General features: G+C 40.0%; 1 long non-coding RNA gene across 1 annotated transcript, besides 4 other annotated features; it reads right to left on the bottom strand.

Annotated features, from left to right (window-relative positions):
* Positions 1,348-1,539: a silencer, noted in NCBI's record as "fragment chr6:82999144-82999335 (GRCh37/hg19 assembly coordinates)". NCBI's record gives its function as "represses an EF-1alpha promoter that drives an FKBP-Casp9 reporter gene in an ReSE screen in HepG2 liver carcinoma cells {active_cell/tissue: HepG2}" and the evidence as "EXISTENCE:reporter gene assay evidence [ECO:0000049][PMID:32094911]".
* Positions 9,027-9,076: an enhancer, noted in NCBI's record as "active region_24778". NCBI's record gives its function as "activates an Ori minimal core promoter by ATAC-STARR-seq in GM12878 lymphoblastoid cells {active_cell/tissue: GM12878}" and the evidence as "EXISTENCE:reporter gene assay evidence [ECO:0000049][PMID:35858748]".
* Positions 9,167-9,266: an enhancer, noted in NCBI's record as "active region_24777". NCBI's record gives its function as "activates an Ori minimal core promoter by ATAC-STARR-seq in GM12878 lymphoblastoid cells {active_cell/tissue: GM12878}" and the evidence as "EXISTENCE:reporter gene assay evidence [ECO:0000049][PMID:35858748]".
* Positions 12,967-13,167: a silencer, noted in NCBI's record as "peak5923 fragment used in MPRA reporter construct". NCBI's record gives its function as "represses an SCP1 promoter by STARR-seq MPRAs in K562 erythroleukemia cells {active_cell/tissue: K562}" and the evidence as "EXISTENCE:reporter gene assay evidence [ECO:0000049][PMID:32103011]".
* LOC105377874 (uncharacterized) lies at positions 18,276-19,528 on the bottom strand. The gene is made up of 3 exons (XR_942737.3): positions 19,209-19,528; positions 18,896-19,006; positions 18,276-18,749 (listed from the first exon to the last, which is right to left on the bottom strand). It is a non-coding gene; the product is annotated as an uncharacterized LOC105377874 (long non-coding RNA).
* Between the last annotated feature and the right edge of the window lie 1,670 nt (positions 19,529-21,198).

Genomic DNA, 21,198 nt, shown 5'->3' with positions numbered 1-21,198 from the left:
AATTGTATCTCTCAGAATTCCAACGTGTTGTGGGAGGGACCCAGAGGGAGGTGATTGAATCATGGGGGTCTGTCTTTCCCATGCTATTCTCGTAATAATGAATAAGTCTCAAGAGATCTAATGGGTTCATCAGGGGTTTCCACTTTTGCTTCTTCCTCATTTTCTCTTGCTGCCGCCACAAATAAGTGCCTTTCACCTCCTACCATGATTCTGAGGCCTCCCCAGCCATGGGGAACTGTAAGTCCAATTAAACTTTTTCTTCCCTGTCTTGGGTATGTCTATATCAGCAGCTTGAAAACAGACTAATACAAATGGTCTTTTTTTTTTTTTTTTGAGAAGGCGTCTCCCTCTGTCACCCAGGCTGGAGTGCAGTGGCTCCATCTCTGCTCACTGCAACCTCCGCCTCTCGGGTTCAAGCAATTCTCCTGCCTCAGCCTCCTGAGTAGCTGGGATTACAGGCACATGCCACCACGCCCGGCTAATTTTTTTTGTTTTTAGTAAAGACGAGGTTTCAGCATGTTGGTCAGGCTGGTCTTGAACTCCTGACTTCGTGATCCGCCCACCTCGGCCTCCCAAAGTGCTGGGATTATAGGCGTGAGCCACCAACAAAAGGTCTTTTATTATTGGGAGAAACTACATGGGGAAAACTGTTAAAACCAAGAAAATGACATCCATGAATTACATTACCCTGAATATTGGAGAAACAGCATTACTCTCTCTTATATTTTTCTATAAGAATTCCCCTTGTGGGACACTAGTGTCCCATGGGAGCATATTTTTAAAACACCACATTCTAACAATATTTGTATACATACAATCATTCTAAGTTCCAATCAGCTGATTGAAATTTGAACTTTTGAAACCCAACTTACTTGTTTATAACTGCAAAGTAGTCTCCATATGTATGAATGTATATCTATTTATCAGGCTAATAACATACCACATTGCTATTCTGTCAAAGGGATAAAAGAAAAAAAAAGTTTACCAGGAAAAAAAAAATCTGTTAGTCATTGAATAATATGACTTTGTATTAGGTTAAAAATTTTCAGGAGAGAGATTGATATAGTTTATCTTCATTTAACACAAAAGCAACAACTTTGAAGACTATCAGACCCTGTGCTGAAGTATCACATTGATTCAATAGCTAGAATCACAATTAATAAAGAACAGGAAAATCATTAACATGGGTGATGCAATCATCCTGTAATCAGTCTTTTATAAATACCCTGTGAGTAGGCTGGGCACGGTGGTTCACACCTGTAATCCCAGCTCTTTGGGAGGCTGAGGCAGGTGGATCACCCAACATCAGGAGTTTGAGACCAGCCTGGCCAACATGGTGAAACACCGTCTCTACTAAAAATACAAAAAATTAGCCAGGTGTGGTGCTGGGCACCTGTAATCCCAGCTACTCAGGAGGCAGAGGCAGGAGAATTGCTTGAACTCGGGAGGTGGAGGTTGCAGTTAGCCGAGATCACGCCGTTGCACTTCAGCCTGGGCAACAAGAGCAAAACTTTTTCTCAAAAAAAAAAAAAAGAAAAAACTCAGTGGTGATTAATTTCATGTAATATTATTCACTGCTGTAATCCCCTCCTTGCTCTTCCCCTGCCTCAGAACCAAGAAATATTTGAATCCAATACAAGGATTCTTGCTATAGACTTATATTAAAAGGTTTAATTAACAGAAAATCCTGCACCAAATACAATCAAACACAGAGATTGCTCTCCATCAAGATCTCAGGGATTCCTGAGCAACCTCTGTCTATAGAGTCCATTCACTTTAATCAGAATCACTGACACATTGTCTTGCTGAGAAGCTGTGACAGACTTTAGTTTGCATTCACTTTTTTTTTTTTTTAATTTTATTTTAAGTTCTGGGATACAAGTGCAGAACGTGAAGGTTTGTTACATACATATACGGGTACCATGGTGGTTTGCTGCACCTATCAACCCATCATCTAGGTTTTAAGCCCCTCATGCATTAGCTATTTGTCCTAATGCTCTCCTTCCCCTCACCCCCCACCCCCTGACTGTCCCTGGTGTGTGTTTTTCCCCTCCCTGTGTCCATGTGTCCTCATTATTCAACTTCCACTTATGAGTGAGAACATGCGGTGTTTGGTTTTCTGTTTCTGTGTTAGTTTTCTGAAGATGATGTTTCCAGCTTCATCCATGTCCCCGCAAAGGACATGATCTCAATCCTTTTTATGGCTGCATAGTATGGTATTCCATGGTGTATATGTGCCACATTTTCTTTATCCAGTCTACCACTGATGGGCATTTGGTTGGTTCCATGTCTTTGCTATTGTAAACAGTGGTGCCGTAAACATATGTGTGCATGTGTCTTTATAGTAGAATGATTTATATTCCTTTAAGTATATACCCAGTAATGGGATTGCTGGGTAAAATGGTATTTCTGGTTCTAGATCCTTGAGGAATGGCCACACTGTCTTCCACAATAGTTGAACTAATTTACATTCTCACCAACAGTGTAAAAGTGTTCCTATTTCTCCACAGCCCCTCCAGCATCTATTGTTTCTTGACTTTTTAATAATTGCCATTCTGACTGGCATGAGATGGTATCTCATTGTGGTGTTGATTTGCATTTCTCTAATGATCAGTGATGTTGAGCTTTTTTTTGTATATTTGTTGGCCACATAAATGTTGCAATCACTTTTATATTCAAGTTTCTAGGACTTTTTGGAACTCTCCTTCATGTAATGAATTTTGAAAGTAACCAAGACTTTCCCTTTAGCTCTTAGCCTATGGAATCATCTTCTCTACTCTCTAGAAGCCCTTGCTTAACTTCACTGAGTGTTATCTATTATTCACTTATCACCTTCTGGGAAGCCATTGAACAAAGAAAAACCTGGAGAGTCATGAGAACTCTCTGCTGTTTGTAGGAGGAGAGAACTTAAATTCTTTGCTAATGATCACCATCTTATTTCTATTATAATTTTCTTATCTTGGGCAGAATAATGTTTCCTCTCTACTCTATCATCCAGTGGACTTACTACTACCACTTTTCTCATTCTTCCAATGCTTTTTTACAATATATCCCTGCATGACAGTCTCATTTTGGGAGATGTGTTAAACCATGCACAAATGGGAAGAAAAAACCTAGCGCCAATAATAATAACCTGATGTTAGTGAAGAAAGAAAGTTATACAATCCAGTCAATGTTGAATATCAATGGGGCACAAATGAATTGACCAACAACCAATCTCTGTTCTCAGCTTTCCTGGGGAGATTTCTGTCTTTGCTGTTTTCATTGAATCCTCATTTGTTTTCTTACCTTTCAGGCAGCCATTTTACTTCACTGGCCTAATATAATCAGTTCTTATCTGTGGGTTCCATATCCCTGGATTCAATCAACTGGAGACAGAAAACATATAAAAACAAATAAATACATAAATAATGACAATATGGGCTGGGTGCGGTGGCTCACACCTGAAATCCCAACACTTTGGGAGGCCAAGGTGACCAAATCACCTGAGGTCAGGAGTTCAAGACCAGCCTGGCCAACATGGTGAAACCCCATCTCTACAAAAATACAAAAATTAGCTGGATATGGTGGCAGGTGCCTGTAACCCCAGCTACTCTGGAGGCTGAGGCAGGAGAATCACTTGAATCTGGGAGGCAGTGGTTGACTGAGCCAAGATCGTGCCTTTGCACCCCAGCCTGAGCAACAGAGCGAGACTCCGTCTCAAAAAAAATAAGTATAAATAAATAAATAAATAAAATAGGCCAGGTGCGGTGGCTCACACCTGTAATCCCAGCACTTTGGGAGGCCGAGGCAAGCTGATCATGAAATCAGGAGTTTGAGACCAGCCTGACCAACATAGTGAAACTCTGTCTCTACTAAAAATACAAAAAAATTAGCCGGGCATGGTGGCGGGCACCTGTAATACCAGCTACTTGGGAGACTGAGGCAAGGAGAATGGCTTGAACCTGGGAGGCGGAGGTTGCAGTGAGCTAAGATCGCGCCACTGCACTCCAGCCCAGGTGACAGTGTGAGACTCCATCTCAAAAAAATAAATAAAAATAAAACAATAATAACACAACAATAAAAACAATACTGAATAACAGCCATTTTCATAAGATTTACATTGTATTAGATATTATCATATAAATAACGTAGAGATAATGAAGCATATGGGAAGATGTACACAGGCAATATGCAAATACTATGCCATTTCCTATAAGAGACTTGAGCATCCTTAGATGTTGGTCTCCAAAAGGGTCCTGGAACCGACTGCCTGTGCATACCAAGGGATAACTATATTTTTTGTTGAAAGAGAAGCCATTCAATGATTGTAGGGACAAAAACCCACTTCCTTCCTGTCCCACTTTCTAACAAGGCACTTCCTTCAAGAGTACATTTCCTCCATCAGATTTAGTTTTATTATTTGAGAATATTCTTACATATATATGTGTGGTGTGTGGATGCACATGTGTGTGTACACATCTGCATATATAGGTATATGTGGATTATAGGTATAATGGGGTATTAGTGCAGTGAATATAAGTACCACACCATCCTCACTAGTTTTGTGATTTTTAACAATTTACCATGCTGTGCCTCATTTTTTTAGACCTGTAAAACAAGAATAATGATAGTACTTCCCTCAGGATGGGATTGTGAAGATTCAGTAAAACTTGTTAGAAAGTGCCTGATACATGGAAATACTCAATGAATCTTAGCTTAGCTATTATCATTGCCTAAAATTTCTTCTTTTACAATTTTACTAGGGCATGTACAACACAATCTTAGGTCCCAAAAGATCTCAATTCTAGATGCCAACACTATTTACGCTTACCTGTAATATGCACACTCCATTCATGTTACAACACCCAGGGGGTTTATTTTTTATTTTATCCCAACTCCATATGACCATTTATCTTGCTGCCTTCTGCCCATTCCACACCTTCCTTGACTAAAGGAAATAAAGATCAATATTTAGAAAAATATAAAAGAAGGTAAAGGTCTCTGTAATTTCTCAAAGTTTGTGTTCAGTATATGTTGATCCATGAGCCTAAAATAGATTTGAAAAGGATGAGGGACTTTGCCCCCTTTTCTGTGGTCTATTGTAAAGTGACTAAGGTCAGGCAGAGAATGTAAGGAAGTAGAGGAAAACTAAAGCTCTTTGATACAAATTAATTTGAAATTGACAGGCAACTACCATAAAAATTCATCTAGTACTTAGAAAGTTGCACTGCCCAATTCCTTACCTGATTGGTACTCTACTTGAATAAGGATAAAACACACAAGTTAAAGAAAAATGAAATAGTAACCATACCAGCAGCAGAATAAATCAGAGCAAACCAGGAGAAAATGCATAAGGTTAAGACAATGTTAGAGTTAACATTTGTTTCATTCAATTTGGTTTGGTGCAGCTGGGATTAGCTATGTCTTTGTATTTTCAGTTCTTTTCAGATGAATTCTTCCTGTTAGAACTTATGTTCTTTCTATCACATTTTGATCTTTTTCCTTTTCCATATTAAAAGACTTCTGGAAAACCAGAAATATAAATGTTGTTTATAAAAATTTTTCTTGTCCTGGTATGAATGAAAATTAAACAGCTATGCCTGAGATATCAATGTCCAATCAATCTCAATATTAAAAACTCAGTCATTGTGCAGTTTTAATTAAATTGATAGCTATCTTTAGTTCACATGATTTCATTCCAGAAAAGACAAAAATGTCAAAAGTGGATATTAAACATTAAGAAATCTTTTATTCTTAATATACTTAATACAGTATATATCAGTATGTAATTATCAAATATAGAAGGCTAATAATTTTTTAAAACCTTAGAACATAATGAATTCATTGTCAACAAAAACTCTCATGGAAATTTCTAAAGGCAAAGACTCAAAATATAATTGAATATTCTTTTTGAAATGAACAAAACTTCCATAATTATTCTATAGACTAGCGAGGTAAAATGTTTCCCTTGCCTTTCAAAAGTTTTTCTTACAGAAGCAAAGAACATGTAATCTATGGCTCTGAATCAAAACCTACAGGCTTACTTATAGCCTTCCATTGCTTCTCTGATTAAAACAAAGTCAAAAGTAGTAGCATCACATATTATTTAAAGTCAAATTGTGTGTGTGTGTTGGTGGAGTCATTATCCACTTTTGGGTTTTCCCCCATTTCCTAAATCCAATTCTTGGACATATAGCCAACAAGCTGCATAGCAAGCACATGGAGGAGACTCATTAAATATTTACATAAATGAATTGTTTTTCTTCCGTTCATTTTCTGAAAAACAGAATGGGTTCCTACTCTTTTTTCTTTTAAGATTGAATTTAGGGGTTGGCCAAAATGGCCAAATAGGAACAGCTCCGGTATGCAGCTCCCAGTGAAATCGACGCAGAAAGCAGGTGATTTCTGCATTTCCAACTGAGATACCCAGTTCATCTCATTGGAACTGGTTGGACAGTGGGTACAGCCAGCCCACCGAGGGTGAGCCGAACCAGGGTGGGGCATCACCTCACCCGGGAAGCACAAGGGGTCAGGGATTTCATTTCCCTAGCCAAGGGAAGCCATGAGAAACTGTACCCGGAGGAATGGTGACCTCTGGCCCAGATACTGCACTTTTCCCAGGGCCTTCACAATCGGCAGAACAGGCGATACCCTCCCGTGCCTGGCTCAGCTGGTCCCACATCCATGGAGCCCAGCAAGATAAGACCCACTGGCTTGAAATTCTCGCTGACAACACAGCAGCAGTCTGAGATAGACCTGGGATGCTCCAGCTTGGTGGGGGGAGGGGCATCTGCCACTGCTGAGGCTTGAGTAAGCGGTTTTATCCTCACAGTGTAAGCAAAGCCTCTGGGAACTTCAAACTGAGCAGAGCCCACTGGAGCTCAGCAAGGCTGCTGTGGACAGACTGCCAGATTTCTCCTCTCTGGGCAGGGCATCTCTGAAAAAAAGGCAGCAGACCAAGTCAGGGACTTAGATATGGAACCCCCATCTCGCTGGGACAGAGCGTCTCCGGAAAGGGGCTGTTGTGGGTGCAGCTTCAGCAGACTTAAACGTCCCTGCCTGACAGCTCTGAAGACCGCAGTGGACCTCCCAGCACAGTGGTCAAGCTCTGCTAAGGGTCAGACTGCCTCCTCATGTGGGTCCCTGACCCCCATGTATCCTGACTGGGAGACACCTCCCAGTAAGGGCCAACAGACACCTCATACAGGAGAGCTCTGGCTGGCATCTGACGGGTGCCCCTCTGGGACGAAGCTTCCAGAGGAAAGAACGGGCAGCAATCTTTGCTGTTCTGCAGCCTCTGCTGGTGATACCCAGGCAAACAGGGTCTGGAGTAGACCTCCAGCAAACTCCAGCAGACCTGCAGCAGACGGGCTTGATTGTTAGAAGGAAAACTAACAAACAGAAAAAAATAGCACATCCACTTAGAGACCCCATCCGAAGGTCACGAACATCAAAGACTAAAGGTAGATAAAACCACAAAGATGGGGAGAAACCAGCACAAAAAAGCTGAACATTCCAAAAATCACAACCCCTCTTCTCCTCCAAAGGATGACAGTTCCTCGCCAGCAAGGGAATAAAACTGGATGGAGAATGGTTTGACAAATTGACAGAAGTAGGCTTCAGAATGTGGATAATAACAAAGTCCTCCCAGCTAAAGGATAATGTTCTAACCCAATGCAAGGAAGCTAAGAAACTTGAAAAAAGGTTAGACAAATTGCTAACTAAAATAACCAGTTTAAAGAAGAACATAAATGACCTGATGGTGCTGAAAAACACAGCACAAGAACTTCGTGAAGCATACACAAGTATCAATAGCTGAATTGATCAAGCAGAATAAAGGATGTCAGAGATTGAAGATCAACTTAATGAAATAAAAATAAAAAAAGAAGACAAGATTAGAGAAAAAAAAATAAAAAGGGAACGAACAAAGCCTCCAAGAAATATGGGACTATGTGAAAAGACGAAATCTACGTTTGACTGGTGTACTTGAAAGTGACGGGGAGAATGGAACTAAGTTGGAAATCACTCTTCAGGTGATTATCCAGGAGAACTTTCCCAACCTAGCAAGACAGGCCAACATTCAAATTCAGGAAATACAGAGAACACCACAAAGATACTCCTCGAGAAAAGCAACCCCAAGACAAATAATCCTCAGATTCACCAAGGTTGAAATGAAGGAAAAAATGTTAAGGGCAGCCAGAGAGGAAGGTCGGGTTACCCACAAACGGAAGCCCATCAGACTAAGAGCAGACCACTCTGCAGAAACCCTATAAGCCAGAAGAGAATGGGGCCAATATTCAACATTCTTAAAGAAAAGAATTTTCAACCCAGACTGAGCTTCATAAGTGAAGGAGAAATAAAATCCTCTACAGACAAGCAAATACTGAGAGATATTGTCACCACCACCTGCCTTACAGGAGCTCCTGAAGGGAGCACTAAACATGGAAAGGAACGACTGGTACCAGCCACTGTAAAAACATACCAAATTGTAAAGACCATCGACACCATGAAGAAACTACATCAACTAATGGGCAAAATAACCAGCTAGCAACATAATCACAGGATCAAATTCACACATAACAATATTAACCTTAAATGTAAACGGGCTAAATGCCCCAATTAAAAGACACAGACTGGCAAATTGGATTAAGAGTCAAGACCCATTAGTGTGCTAAATTCAGGAGACCTGTCTCTTATGCAAAGACACACATAGACTCAAAACAAAGGGATGGAGGAATATTTACCAAGCAATGGAAAGCAAAATAAAGCAGGAGTTGCAATCCTAATCTCTGATAAAATAGATTTTAAACCAACAAAGATCAAAACAGACAAAGAAGGCCATTACATAATGGTAAGGGATCGATGCATCAAGAAGAGCTAACTATCCTAAATATATATGCACCCATTACAGGAGCACCCAGATTTATAAAGCAAGTCCTTAGAGAGCTACAAAGAGACTTAGACTCCCACACAATAATATTGGGAGACTTTAACACCCCACTGTCAGCATTAGACAGATCAACAAGACAGAAAATTAACAAAGATATGCAGGACTTGAACTCAGCTCTGGATCAAGCAGACCTAAAAGACATCTACAGAACTCTCCACCCCAAATCAACAGAATATGTGTTCTTCTCAGCACCTCATTGCACTTATTCTAAAATTGAAAGTAAAATTGGAAGTAAAACACTCCTCAGCAAATGCAAAAGAACGGAAATCATAACAGTCTCTCAGACCACAGTGCAATGAAATTAGAACTCATGATTAAGAAACTCACTCAAAACCACACAATTACATGAAAACTGAACAACCTGCTCCTGAATGACTACGTGGTAAATAATGAAATTAAGGCAGAAATAAAGATGTTCCTTGAAACCAATGAGAACAAAAGCACAACATACCAGGATCTCTGGGACACATTTAAAGCAGTGTGTAGAGAGAAATTTATAGCACTAAATGCCCACAAGACAAAGCAGAAAAGATCTAAAATTGAGATCCTAACCACAAAATTAAAAGAACTAGAGAAGGAAGAGCAAACAAATTCAAAAGTTAGCAGAAGACAAGAAATAACTAAGATCAGAGCAGAACTGAAGGAGATAGAGACACAAAAAACCCTCAAAAAATCAATGAATCCAGGAGGTGGCTTTTTGAAACGTCAACAAAATTGATAGACTGCTAGCAAGACTAATAAAGAAGAAAAGAGAGAAGAATCAAACAGATGCAAGAAAAAGTGATAAAGAAGAGATCACCACTGATCCCACAGAAATACAAACTACGATCAGAGAATACGATAAACACCTCTATGCAAATAAACTAGAAAATCTAGAAGAAATGGATACATTCGTGGACACATACACCCTCCCAAGACTAAACCAGGAAGAAGTTGAATCCCTGAATAGACCAATAACAAGATCTGAAATTGTGGTAATTAATAGTCTACAACCAAAAAAAGTCCAGGACTAGAGAGATTCACAGCCAAATTCTACCAGAGGTACAAAGGGGAGCTTGCATCATTCCTTCTGAAACTATTCCAATCAATAGAAAAAGAGGGAATCCTCCCTAACTCATTTTATGAGGCCAGCATCATCCTGATACCAAAACCTGGCAGAGACACAACAAAAAAAGAAAATTTCATGCCAATATCCCTGATGAACATTGATGCAAAAATCCTCAATAAAATACTGGCGAACCAAATCCAGCAGCACATCAAAAAGCTTCTCCGCCACGATCAAATCAGCTTCATCCCTGGGATGCAAAGCTGGTTCAACATACGCAAATCAATAAACTTAATCCATCACATAAACAGAACCAATGACAATAACCACATGATTATCTCAATAGATGAAGAAAAGGCCTTCAAAAAAATTCAGCACCGCTTCATGCTAAAAACTCTCAATAAACTAGGTACTGACGGGTCTTATCTCAAAATAATAAGAGCTATTTATGACAAACCCACAGCCAATGTTATACTGAATGGACTAAAACTGGAAGCATTCCCTTTGAAAACTGGCACAAGACAAGGATGCTCTCTCTCACCACTCCTATTCAACATAGTATTGGAAGTTCTGGCCAGGGCAATCAGGCAAGAGAAAGAAATAAAGGGTATTCAAATAGGAAAAGAGGAAGTCAAATCGTCTCTGTTTGCGGATGACATGATTATATATTTAGAAAACCCCATTGTCTCATCCCTAAATCTCCTTAAGCTGATAAGCAACTTCAGCAAAGTCTCAGGATACAAAATCAATGTGCAAAAATCACAGGCATTCCTATACACCAATAATAGAGAGCCAGATCATGAGTGAACTCCCATTCACAATTGCTACTAAGAGAATAAAATACCTAGGAATCCAACTTACAAGGGATGTGAAGGACCTCTTCAAGGAGAACTATAAACCACTGCTCAAGGAAATAAGAGAGGACACAAACAAATGGCAAAACGTTCCATGCTCATGGATAGGAAGAATCAATATCATGAAAATGGCCATACTGCCCAAAGTAATTTATAGATTCAATGTTATCCCCGTCAAGCTACCACTGACTTTCTTCACACAACTGGAAAAAAAACTACTTTAAACTTCACGTGGAACCACAAAAGAGCCTGCATAGCCAAGACAATCCTAAGCAAAAAGAGCAAAGCTGGAGGCATCACGCTACCTGACTTCAAACTATACTACAAGGCTACAGTAATCAAAACAACATGGTACTGGTACCAAAACAGATATACAAACCAATGGAACAGAACAAAGGCCTCAGAAATAACATCACACATCTGCAACCATCTGATCTTTGACAAACCTGACAAAAACAAGGAATGGGGAAAGGATTCCCTATTTAATAAAAGGTGATTGGAAAAGTGGCTAGCCATATGCAGAAAACTGAAACTGGACCCTTTCCTTACAACTTATTCAAAAATTAACTCAAGATGGATTAAAGACTTAAATGTAAGACCTAAAACCGTAAGAATCCTAGAAGAAAACCTAGGCAATACCATTCAGGACATAGGCATGGGCAAAGACTTCATGTCTAAAACACCAAAAGCAATGGCAACAAAAGCCAAAATTGACAAATGGGATCTAATTATACTAAAGAGCTTCTGCACCACAAAAGAAACTATCATCAGAGTGAACAGGCAACCTACAGAATGGGAGGAAATTTTTGCCATCTATCTATCTGACAAAGGGCTAATATCCAGAATTTACAAGGAACTTAAACAAATTTACAAGAAAAAAACAAACAACCCCATTAAAAAGTGTGCAAAGGATATGAACAGACACTTCTCAAAAGAAGACATTTATGTGGCCAATAAACACATGAAAAAATGCTCATTATCACTGGTCATTAGAGAAATGCAAATCAAAACCACAATGAGATACCATCTCACACCAGTTAGAATGGCAACCATTAAAAAGCCAGGAAACAGGCTGGGCACAGTGGCTCACGCCTGTAATCCCAGCACTTTGGGAGCCCAAGGTGGGCGGATCACCAGGTCAAGAGACCAGGACCATCCTGGCTAACACGGTGAAACCACGTCTCTACTAAAAATACAAAAATTAGCCTGGTGTGGTGGCGGGCGTGCCTGTAGTCCCAGCTACTTGGGAGGCTGAGGCAGAAGAATGGCATGAACCTGGGAGGTAGAGCTTGCAGTGAGCCGAGATCATGCCACTGCACTCCAGCCTAGGTGACAGAGCGAGACTCCATCTCAAAAAAAAAAAAAAAAAGCCAGGAAACAACAGATGCTGGAGAGGCTGTGGAGAAATAGGAACGCTTTTACACTGTTCATGGGAGTGTAAATTAGTTCAACCATTGTTGAAGACAGTGTGGCGATTCCTCAAGGATCTAGAACTAGAAATACCATTTGACCCACCAATCCCATTACTGGGTATATACCCAAAGCATTATAAATCATTCTACTATAAAGACACATGCACACGTATGCTTATTGCAGCACTATTCACAATAGCAAAGACTTGGAACCAACCCAAATGTCCATCAATGATAGGCTGGATAAAGAAAATGTGGCACATATACACCATGGAATACTATGCAGCCATAAGAAATGATGAGTTCATGTCCTTTGCAGGGACATGGATGAAGCTGGAAACCATCATTCTCAGCAAACTAACACAAGAACAGAAAACCAAACACCACATGTTCTCACTCATAAATGGGAGTTGAACAATGAGAACACATGGACACAGGAAGGGGAACATTACACACCGGGGCCTGTTTGGGGGTAGGGGGCTACTGGAAGGACAGTAGGTGATGTGTTGATGGGTGCAGCCAACCACTATGGCACTTGTATAACTATGTAACAAAATGGCACATTCTGCACATGTGTCCCAGAACTTAAAGTATAATAATATAAAAACAAAAAGATTGAATTTAGATAAAATCTAGTAAGGATGTTTTACATTCATTGATCTAAGGTTGTCAATTTCAAAGTTTTATTTATATATGTGATAAGAGCAATATTTTGTTTGGTCCACAGTAATTCCTCTTTTTAAGTTATGACAATGCTCCCTTATCAAGAGCCATACCTGGCAAGTGCAAATCAGTTTCTTTCAACATGTGGAGAAGATAGCTCATCCACAATTAAGGCTGAGTCATTGTGCTTAGTGCTACCAGGAAAAAGAAGGATATGATATCAAGGAAGTATTTTCCAGAGAGAAAGAAAACAAAGTCTCTCCCCTTCCAGAAAAATATGGTCAGAAGTTGGATGTGCAAGTCTTAGGGTGGAGCATTGAGGAAGGATGCTGGTAGAAACAGCCAGAGAGGCAAAATGGACTTTCCAGTTACACTTCAGTGGATACTAGTCTAGAGACCCCTTCTGACTATCCACCAGGTCACAAAGACCAATAGAAAGTCATTTATGAATGCTCAGTGCCTGCACTGCTGAGAGAACTTTCCCCTACAAATGCTATCTTGAGTAGATAAACAAAGAGGGGAGGAACATCCCTAGTATGGAGCTTATATGGTTTGGCTCTGTGTCCCCACCCAAATCCCATCTCGAATTGTAATCCCCAAGTGTGGAGGGAGGGACCTGGTGGGAGGCAATTGAATCATGGGGGCGGTTTCCCCATTTTGTTCTCCTGATAGTGAAGGAGTCCTCACAAGATCTAATGGTTTCAAAGTGGCAGTTTCCACTGCACTCATTCTCCCTCTCTCTCTCCTGCCACCTTGTGAAGAAGGTTTTGCTTCTCCTTCACCTTCTGCCATGATTGTGAGTTTCCTAAGGCCTCCCCAGCCATATGGAACTGTGAGTCAATTAAACCTCTTTTGTTCATAAATTGCCCAGTCTCAGGTAGTATCTTCACAGCAGTGTGAAAATGGACTAATACAAGTGATGACCCTGGAATTGATGAAATATTTATCAGAACACAATTGTTTCATCCAGAAGTTACTTTAATTGGCAAGTTAAAGTCTTTGTTGTTCTATCATTGAACTGTATACACTTAAAGATGGTTAAGGTGTTACATGTATTTTAGCAAAATTTTAAAATATAAGTCTCTTTTGTTTCGTTACTTTCCTCTAACACCACTGCAGGTATAGGAAGTAAAGAAGGTTTTGAAGTTTTTTTTTTTTTTTGCACATCTAATATAATATAACTAAATCTAATCTTGAACACCTCCCTGCCTACACACACACACATACACACACACACACACACACACTTTCTGTTAAAATTTATGACTTTCAGCCCTAGGATCCTTTTCAAACTTTCCTTTCTTTTAAGGATTCTCCTTTTCATAAGTGGAATTCCTCTAGGGTTTTGAGTTTCAGATGGGATGTAAGACTGGATTTTTTTTCCCCTAAAGATCACATAATCATATTCAGTCACATCTTACTCATAAATATAAAATTACAAGCCCTGCACATTAACTTGTCCTCCTCCAAATCTCAAAATCTATAGTACTTGAGGAAGTGAGAGCTTTGAGGAAGTCATGTGTTCTTATTATATTCCAAAGGGCATTTTGGGAGTGGGTCGTTCCACCCCTCTTTTAAAATAATGTTAGTAATATTCTCCTCAGTATTTCCTGCCCATCCCTTCTCTATCTCTAATGTATGCTTGGAGCAGCTTTCCAAAACTCCTTAAACCAAATCAAATGAAATGGAATATGAAACTAGCTTGGTCTGTGCCACTTATGAATATGTGACCTGTGACAATTATTGAAGCTCTCTGACCTTTAATGTTCTCCTTTATAAAATAGGGAAAACCTAAACGTTTAGAGGTTTGTTGTTAGAATTAAATGAAATAAAGAATGCAAACCACTTACTCAATCTAAGTTGCTGTGATGAATATCTTCTTAAATTTAGCCCCTTTCATTTCTTATCTTTCTTTTTTGTTTTGTTTTGTTTTTTTGAGACAGGGTTTCACTCCATCCATTCAGGCTGGAGTGCAGTGGCTGATCTCGGCCCACTGCAACTTCCATGTCCCGGGATCAAGAGATTCTCCTACCTCACCTCCCCAGTAGCTGAGGCCACAGGTGCACGTGCCACCATGCTTGGCTCATTTTTAGTATTTTTGGTAGAGAAGGGATTTCACAATGTTGCCCAGGCTGGTCTCGAATTCCTGAGTTCAAGCAATCCACTGGCCTCTGCCTCCCAGAGTGCTGGGATTACAGATGTGAGTCACAGGTGCCTGGCCTCTCGTTTTATTTTTTCCCCAACTCAGTTCAGTGAAGCTCCTCTCATTTCTACCTCTGTCTTATGGAACACTTGTGAATAAATTTCCCTGTGCTTTCAACATTTTCTTTTATTCATTTAACAAGCACCTACTATAGACCAGATATAATGCCAGCTTCTGGTGATCCAAAAATGAATAAGGTACAGATGGTTCACGATGCCCTCAGAGTAGCAGAGAAGACAGATGCTATAGAAGCCCAGAGTGGGCAGCAACTGACTCTGTCCAGAGTGGGAGGAGGGTGAAAGAAGACTTCTTAAAAGAGAAAACATTTGAGCTGCACAAGAGAGGAGGGAGCAGGCTGCTCATGGTATGTCTCTTGGGCCTCTTCCTTATGAAGAGGATGCCAAGGTTTTCCATGAACCTCTGGGCTTTAGTTTGAAACTCTGCTTTCTTCACATTGCCCTATTTTTCTGAAAACCCTCTACAATAGGATTGAGACACAGAAAGGATACATTTCTTGTCCTTGTGGGGAAATAAAGAGGAAAAATTGTTGTTGCTTTTTTCTCTTTTTTTTTTTTTTGAGACAGGGCCTCATCTTGTCACCCAGGCTGGAGTGTGGAGTGTACTGGCCCAGTTATGGCTCACTGCAGCCTTTCTACTTCTTCTTCATGCATATATTCTTTCATTCTTTATCCACTCCACAACCATTTATAGAGTACCAGTTAAGTACTAGGCACTGTGCTAGATGCTAGAGATACAGAGAGATAAGAAATTTAGTCTAGTGAGAGACACAAACAAGAAAATCAAAGATTACTCTGCATTTATGAGAGCTCTAACAGAAGAATATTAGAATATTCAGGGGGCTGGGGAGCAGTGTTAGGGTGACCAACCAACCCAGTTTACCTGGTACTGTCTCCAATTTAGCACTGAAAATCCCACATCCTGGAAAACTCCTTAGTTCTGCACAAACTGGGACAATTGGTCATCACAGCTCAGGTCATCACAGAGCAGGCTCTCCTAATGCAGCCTGGCATGGGGGCAAGAGTATAATCATGTTAGAAATGATTCCCAGCTTAAATTTAATAAAATACTGATGGATAAAGACATTGGAAACATTCATCAAGTGAATGCTTTTAGCACATGTGAACTAGATTACATTGGGTGATGGGGAAAATCCTAGTAATGTGCCCACAGTTCACGTGGAACATTACTCCTAGAGCTGTATGAAGATTAAGTGATTTAAATATATTTGGGTGTCTGTTACCTGAAAAGATAATTCTGACAAAGTCACTGCCTGCGAGGAGCTTATATTTCAATGAAGATTAAGCTATATATACAAATTATTATAAAGTAAGTTATAGAACAAACTGAAAGCAATTCAGATAAAGGACAGTGGGAGTCAGAGGATGTTATTATTCTGGCCTGGAAGCAGGGGTGCCTTAGAGGATCCAGGGATGACTTCATGGAATAACAATGTAGGTGAACAAAGGAGAATTACAGAAAGGATGAGAAAGAAGGTGCTCAGATGGAGAAGCAAGAGCTCCTGCACAGAAGCAAAGCCAAAAACACACCTGGCACCTCGGGCTCTGGAGAGAATTGTTGAAATTGTGGGATAGAGTGACTCATTCCAAGCTTTCTTGACTTTTTCTCCCTGAATTTTTTTTTTTTTTTTTTTTTTTTTTTTTGAGACGGAGTCTTGCACTGTCGCCCAGGCTGGAGTGCAGTGGCGCAATCTCGGCTCACTACAACCTCCACCTCCCAGATTCAAGTGATTCTCCTGCCTCAACCTCCCAAGTAGCTGGGATTACAGGTGCCCACACCCACACCCAGCTAATTTTTTGTATTTTTAGTAGAGACAGGGCTTCACTATGTTGGCCAGGCTGGTCTCGAATGCCTGACCTCACGATCCACCTGCCTCAGCCTCCCAAAGTGCTAGGATTACAGGCGTGAGCTACCGCACCAGGCCTCTCCCTCAAAATTTTACTTCCACAAAATATTTCCCAGGGACTCTGCAATAATGTGCTCATTTGGAGTTAGTTGGACTGTGGCTATATATTTTTTTAATTAGAGTCAATATATCAAAATTTTGTTTTCCAAAAGCCTTCTTCACAGTGCTAACAGTTTAGTTGAGCAGAATGTAGACACTTCAGGGACTACTCCAGTGTGCTTATTCACCACAGAGTTCATTTTTCAAGCTGAAACTGAATGATAATTGATAGTGTTGGGGCTCAGAACACAATACCCCAAAGTATGGTGCTTTGGCATGCTGAGTACATAAAACTAAAGGAGATTGCAAGGCTTCAGAAGTAGCCTCAGAAGAAAAGCCTCTCTCTGACTGTCTCCTACCCTCCTTTCTCTTGTCCTTGTCTCTCCCCTGAAGTGAGTCATAGAAACCAGAATTCTTCTTCTTCAAGGTAAGTCATAAAAACTAGAACCCTTCTCCCTCAAAGCAAGCCATAACACCTAGAAAGGTTACTGTCTCTCTTCTCCTTCTTCCTTGAAGATCCTCATTTCAGAAGGGGTCCTGCCCCGTTGGCAGGGAGGAAGTTTCACTACACAGTGAGGCCAAGATGAAGCTGGACAGGCCTTGCTGAGCTTTCCACCTTCATCTGTTACCATTGGGTTATACCCCTTTGTCCAGTTACCTATCTGTACAGCTGTTCATTCTTTATAGAACCTAAGCAGTTTTCCCTTGGTCTTTGGGTCTTCACTTCTGAAGACTCTTGTGTCATGTAAAACTTTGATTTTAAAAATATGTTATGCTTTTCTTTTGTTAACCTGCCTTTTTGTTAGGAGTATTAAGTGTCGGCTGTGACCTTTATGATGAGCGAGGAAAGGTATCACATCTTTCCACTCCTACAATAGCAAAATTCAAATTTCATGATCTCGTTTTTCTATTGCTGGTGCCTCCCAGTCTCTCATTCTAAACTCCCATAAATTCACTCACACTGTTCATCCTTGCTTCTCTCTCTGCTCCCCTCCTTCACCTCTTGGGACCATAACATGCAGTTTTCACGTCTCATTTCTCAGCAAAATTATGAAGTGTGTTGAATGAATTCACATTAATAATATTTTAGCTAACAACACTTGGAAGAGTCTACAGATCATTTACCAAGGAAACTAAATTATTTCAAATACTGGTGTCAAAATAAATGAACCAAGCCTTCTCTGACGTAGTAGCTTAACATTTTATTGTGAGTGTGAACACAATTCCCTAATCTCCAAAATACAGCAATCCTTACTGGGTTCTTTCTTCATTAGTGAGAGTACAAAATGTTCTGCTATAGATTTCCCCATAACTTGTAGTGGTGGAATAGGGCATTTCTTTCCTGAAGTAATTCAAACTAATATGGAACTCTTTTCTAATATAAAGATGTCTTTAGAACACCTTGGAATTATTGCAAACGATAAGTAGAATTTATTAACGTTATGAATCAAAGAGAAATGTTGTGTGTTTTTGTTGTCATTAAATAAAATTTAGAGGTGAATCTTTTCTCCATTTTTTTTTTGCTTAATCATGACTCTGTTTTTTCTCTCTCCTAATAGGTTCTCTTCAGTTCCAAAGTATTCCCAGCTGCCGAGAGTCACAAATTCTGTCTGAAAAGCAGGGTGACCTTTTCAGAGAGGAGCCAATGTTTGGAAGCTGAAATACAGAGGAAGGGAGAAAGTTTACTGAATGTGTGCTGGAAGAGGAGAGCTCATTTAGCCAGCCCTCTTCCACTTCACTCATTCCCAACCCCACCCCTACCCACATATTCCAACTCCTCCGCCTCTCCATTCCTCCCTAACCTTACTGGACAAGTAGGACCGCCAGCTATAGGACTGCCAGCTACAGGGATGTGGTAGTCCACTCGGGCTCTTTGAAGTCTTTAAAATTCTCCCTCGGTGTCTGCTTCTTTCCTGGGGGCAGAAAGCAGCACATGGCACCTCAGATCCATGGAACACAGCCCACCACTCCTGAGAAGCAGAGTCGAGGAGCAGCCGACCTGACTTGGAAGGCAGGCTAGCTGGGTTACCCCTGCCCACTGCCAGTTACACAGATTAAACATTTTGTCTGGATATGACCAGATGTCCTCAATTCCCCAGGCTTGAACACACTTACCCTTGCTTCTCCAAATTGCTTTGCATGCCTTACCCACCCCCTCATCCCCACTATTCTTAGCTCTCAAAAAAAAAAAAAAAGATGCTGCAGTTGTCATCCATCTTCCGACTTTTTATCATAGCTTTGCATACTCTTTTCAAATATTCTTTCTCTTTCTCCCTCTTCTTTTTAGCCTCACAATTTTGCTTTTTGTAGACCAATCAAAGATTTCTATGTGTGTCTTCAAAGAAATATTACAAGACAAACCCTCTCCTGGTACAAGAGCTACAGAATTATTTGCATATATAATCTCTTCTTGTGCCTCCTGCTAGCATGGGCCTTTTCGTCTTCAATCCTCATGGTATAACAAAAGAATAAATTATGGTACTACTGATAGAACGTTAAACTGACAATCTTCTGAGGCACCGGCAGTTTAATGGAAACCAAAGAAAATTCAAGATTATACATTTTCTCATAAATGTATTTCTTTTTCCTGTCTTCTCTTTCACATACTATCAATTTTCTTGCCTTCTTATTATTCAGTTTCCTATCTGTCAAATAACAAACCCAAAGCTGCCTTCGAGCCAATCTCCTGTCAATGGAACCGTACTTGCTGATAGAGGATTAAGGTATTGGCAAATCTGTTACAAGGTGTTTAGGTTTATAATTAAAGATTTAGTTAAATTAATAAACAGCAGCAATTTCAAGAAGACTAAAAGGATTGCCTTACCTGATATTTTGCCTCCTTTCTGACTACTAAGGGAAGATGTGAAAAGTGAAAATGAAGGTGTTTATATAGTGCCATCTAGCGACAGATACCTAAAAAAGCTCTGTATCATTTATTGATTGCACAGAGAAAACAAAATCCTTCTACTGGGGTCTGCTTTGGAATCTCCAGGTTTAATTCTAGTTTTTGGGCTTTTGGGTTTTTTTGTTTAACCTTCTATGGGGATAATTCAATCCTGGGGTCTCTTTTGTTTTCACTGAAAGTTTTAAGCTTTAATCTGCTTTGTGGAGAGCCAAAAACATGAAAACTCTTTCAGTATCCAGAGGAACTGCTGCAGTGGTATTTTAACTTTGGACTTTTTCTTGCTATCCCGGTTCTGTCTGTCACACTAAAATAAAACCTTGATTCTGCGAGGTATAGGAAAATATGTTAATAAGCTAAGAAAATGGAAATGATCATGTCATCTAAACCATAATATTGCTCCCCTCTTCCAACTCTTCTCACTTGAATTTATATTTCTCAAATTTTAAATATATGGACATGAAAAAACAAAGATGTCTTCAATTATGCATATTAAAAATATACACCTATGAGAACCATAACCAAGTTTTAGAAGTTGGCCCACTGTTAGCAAAGTTCAGAATGAATAAACAACCCCTATATATATGGAAAGAAACAAAAATTTAAAAAACCATCACCAAATCAGAAACTGCTGTCTAACTTAAGTGATTCATGTTTCCCAGAATCAGCTTGTCCTTTTAAAGGCTGATCTCTAACTTGAGACTGGCTTTGCTTTGACTGTGAGATACTTCTAAGATCAGGTCTCCATTCTGATCCCACTCACCGGCTGCTCTGTTTCCAAAGTACTTCTGCCTTCCCTAGGGGGGTCTCCTCCTGTACAGGCACTGAAAGACTGATCAAATCTGCATGTGTCAATCATTGCCTACTTCCCAGCTGGTGATAGAGGTAGATTCCTACCAAATTTACTCGGAGGACTTGACTTTCTCAGGACCTCTTCCTGTTGTGCATTGTCATGATCTTGCGGCTAAACTAATAGATGTGAAAGTGAATTGAAATGTAAAACATGCTGGGCAAGTCTAAAATGCTTTGAATGATAGGAGGTAATTAAATGAATGACTTTCAAACCTCACTTGATGCCTGCTGAGATATCCTATATCTACTGATTCAAGGGCCAAATCTCTAATTTCCCAATACCACCCATCACTTGGAAGTTTCTCTTCAATACATTGATCTTCTCATGGTTGCCTGATGCTTAGTTATGAA

Source organism: Homo sapiens, chromosome 6 (assembly GCF_000001405.40).
Source record: "Homo sapiens chromosome 6, GRCh38.p14 Primary Assembly".
NCBI classification, from domain to species: Eukaryota; Metazoa; Chordata; class Mammalia; order Primates; family Hominidae; genus Homo; species Homo sapiens.
This window is presented reverse-complemented; position numbering and strand designations above follow the sequence as displayed.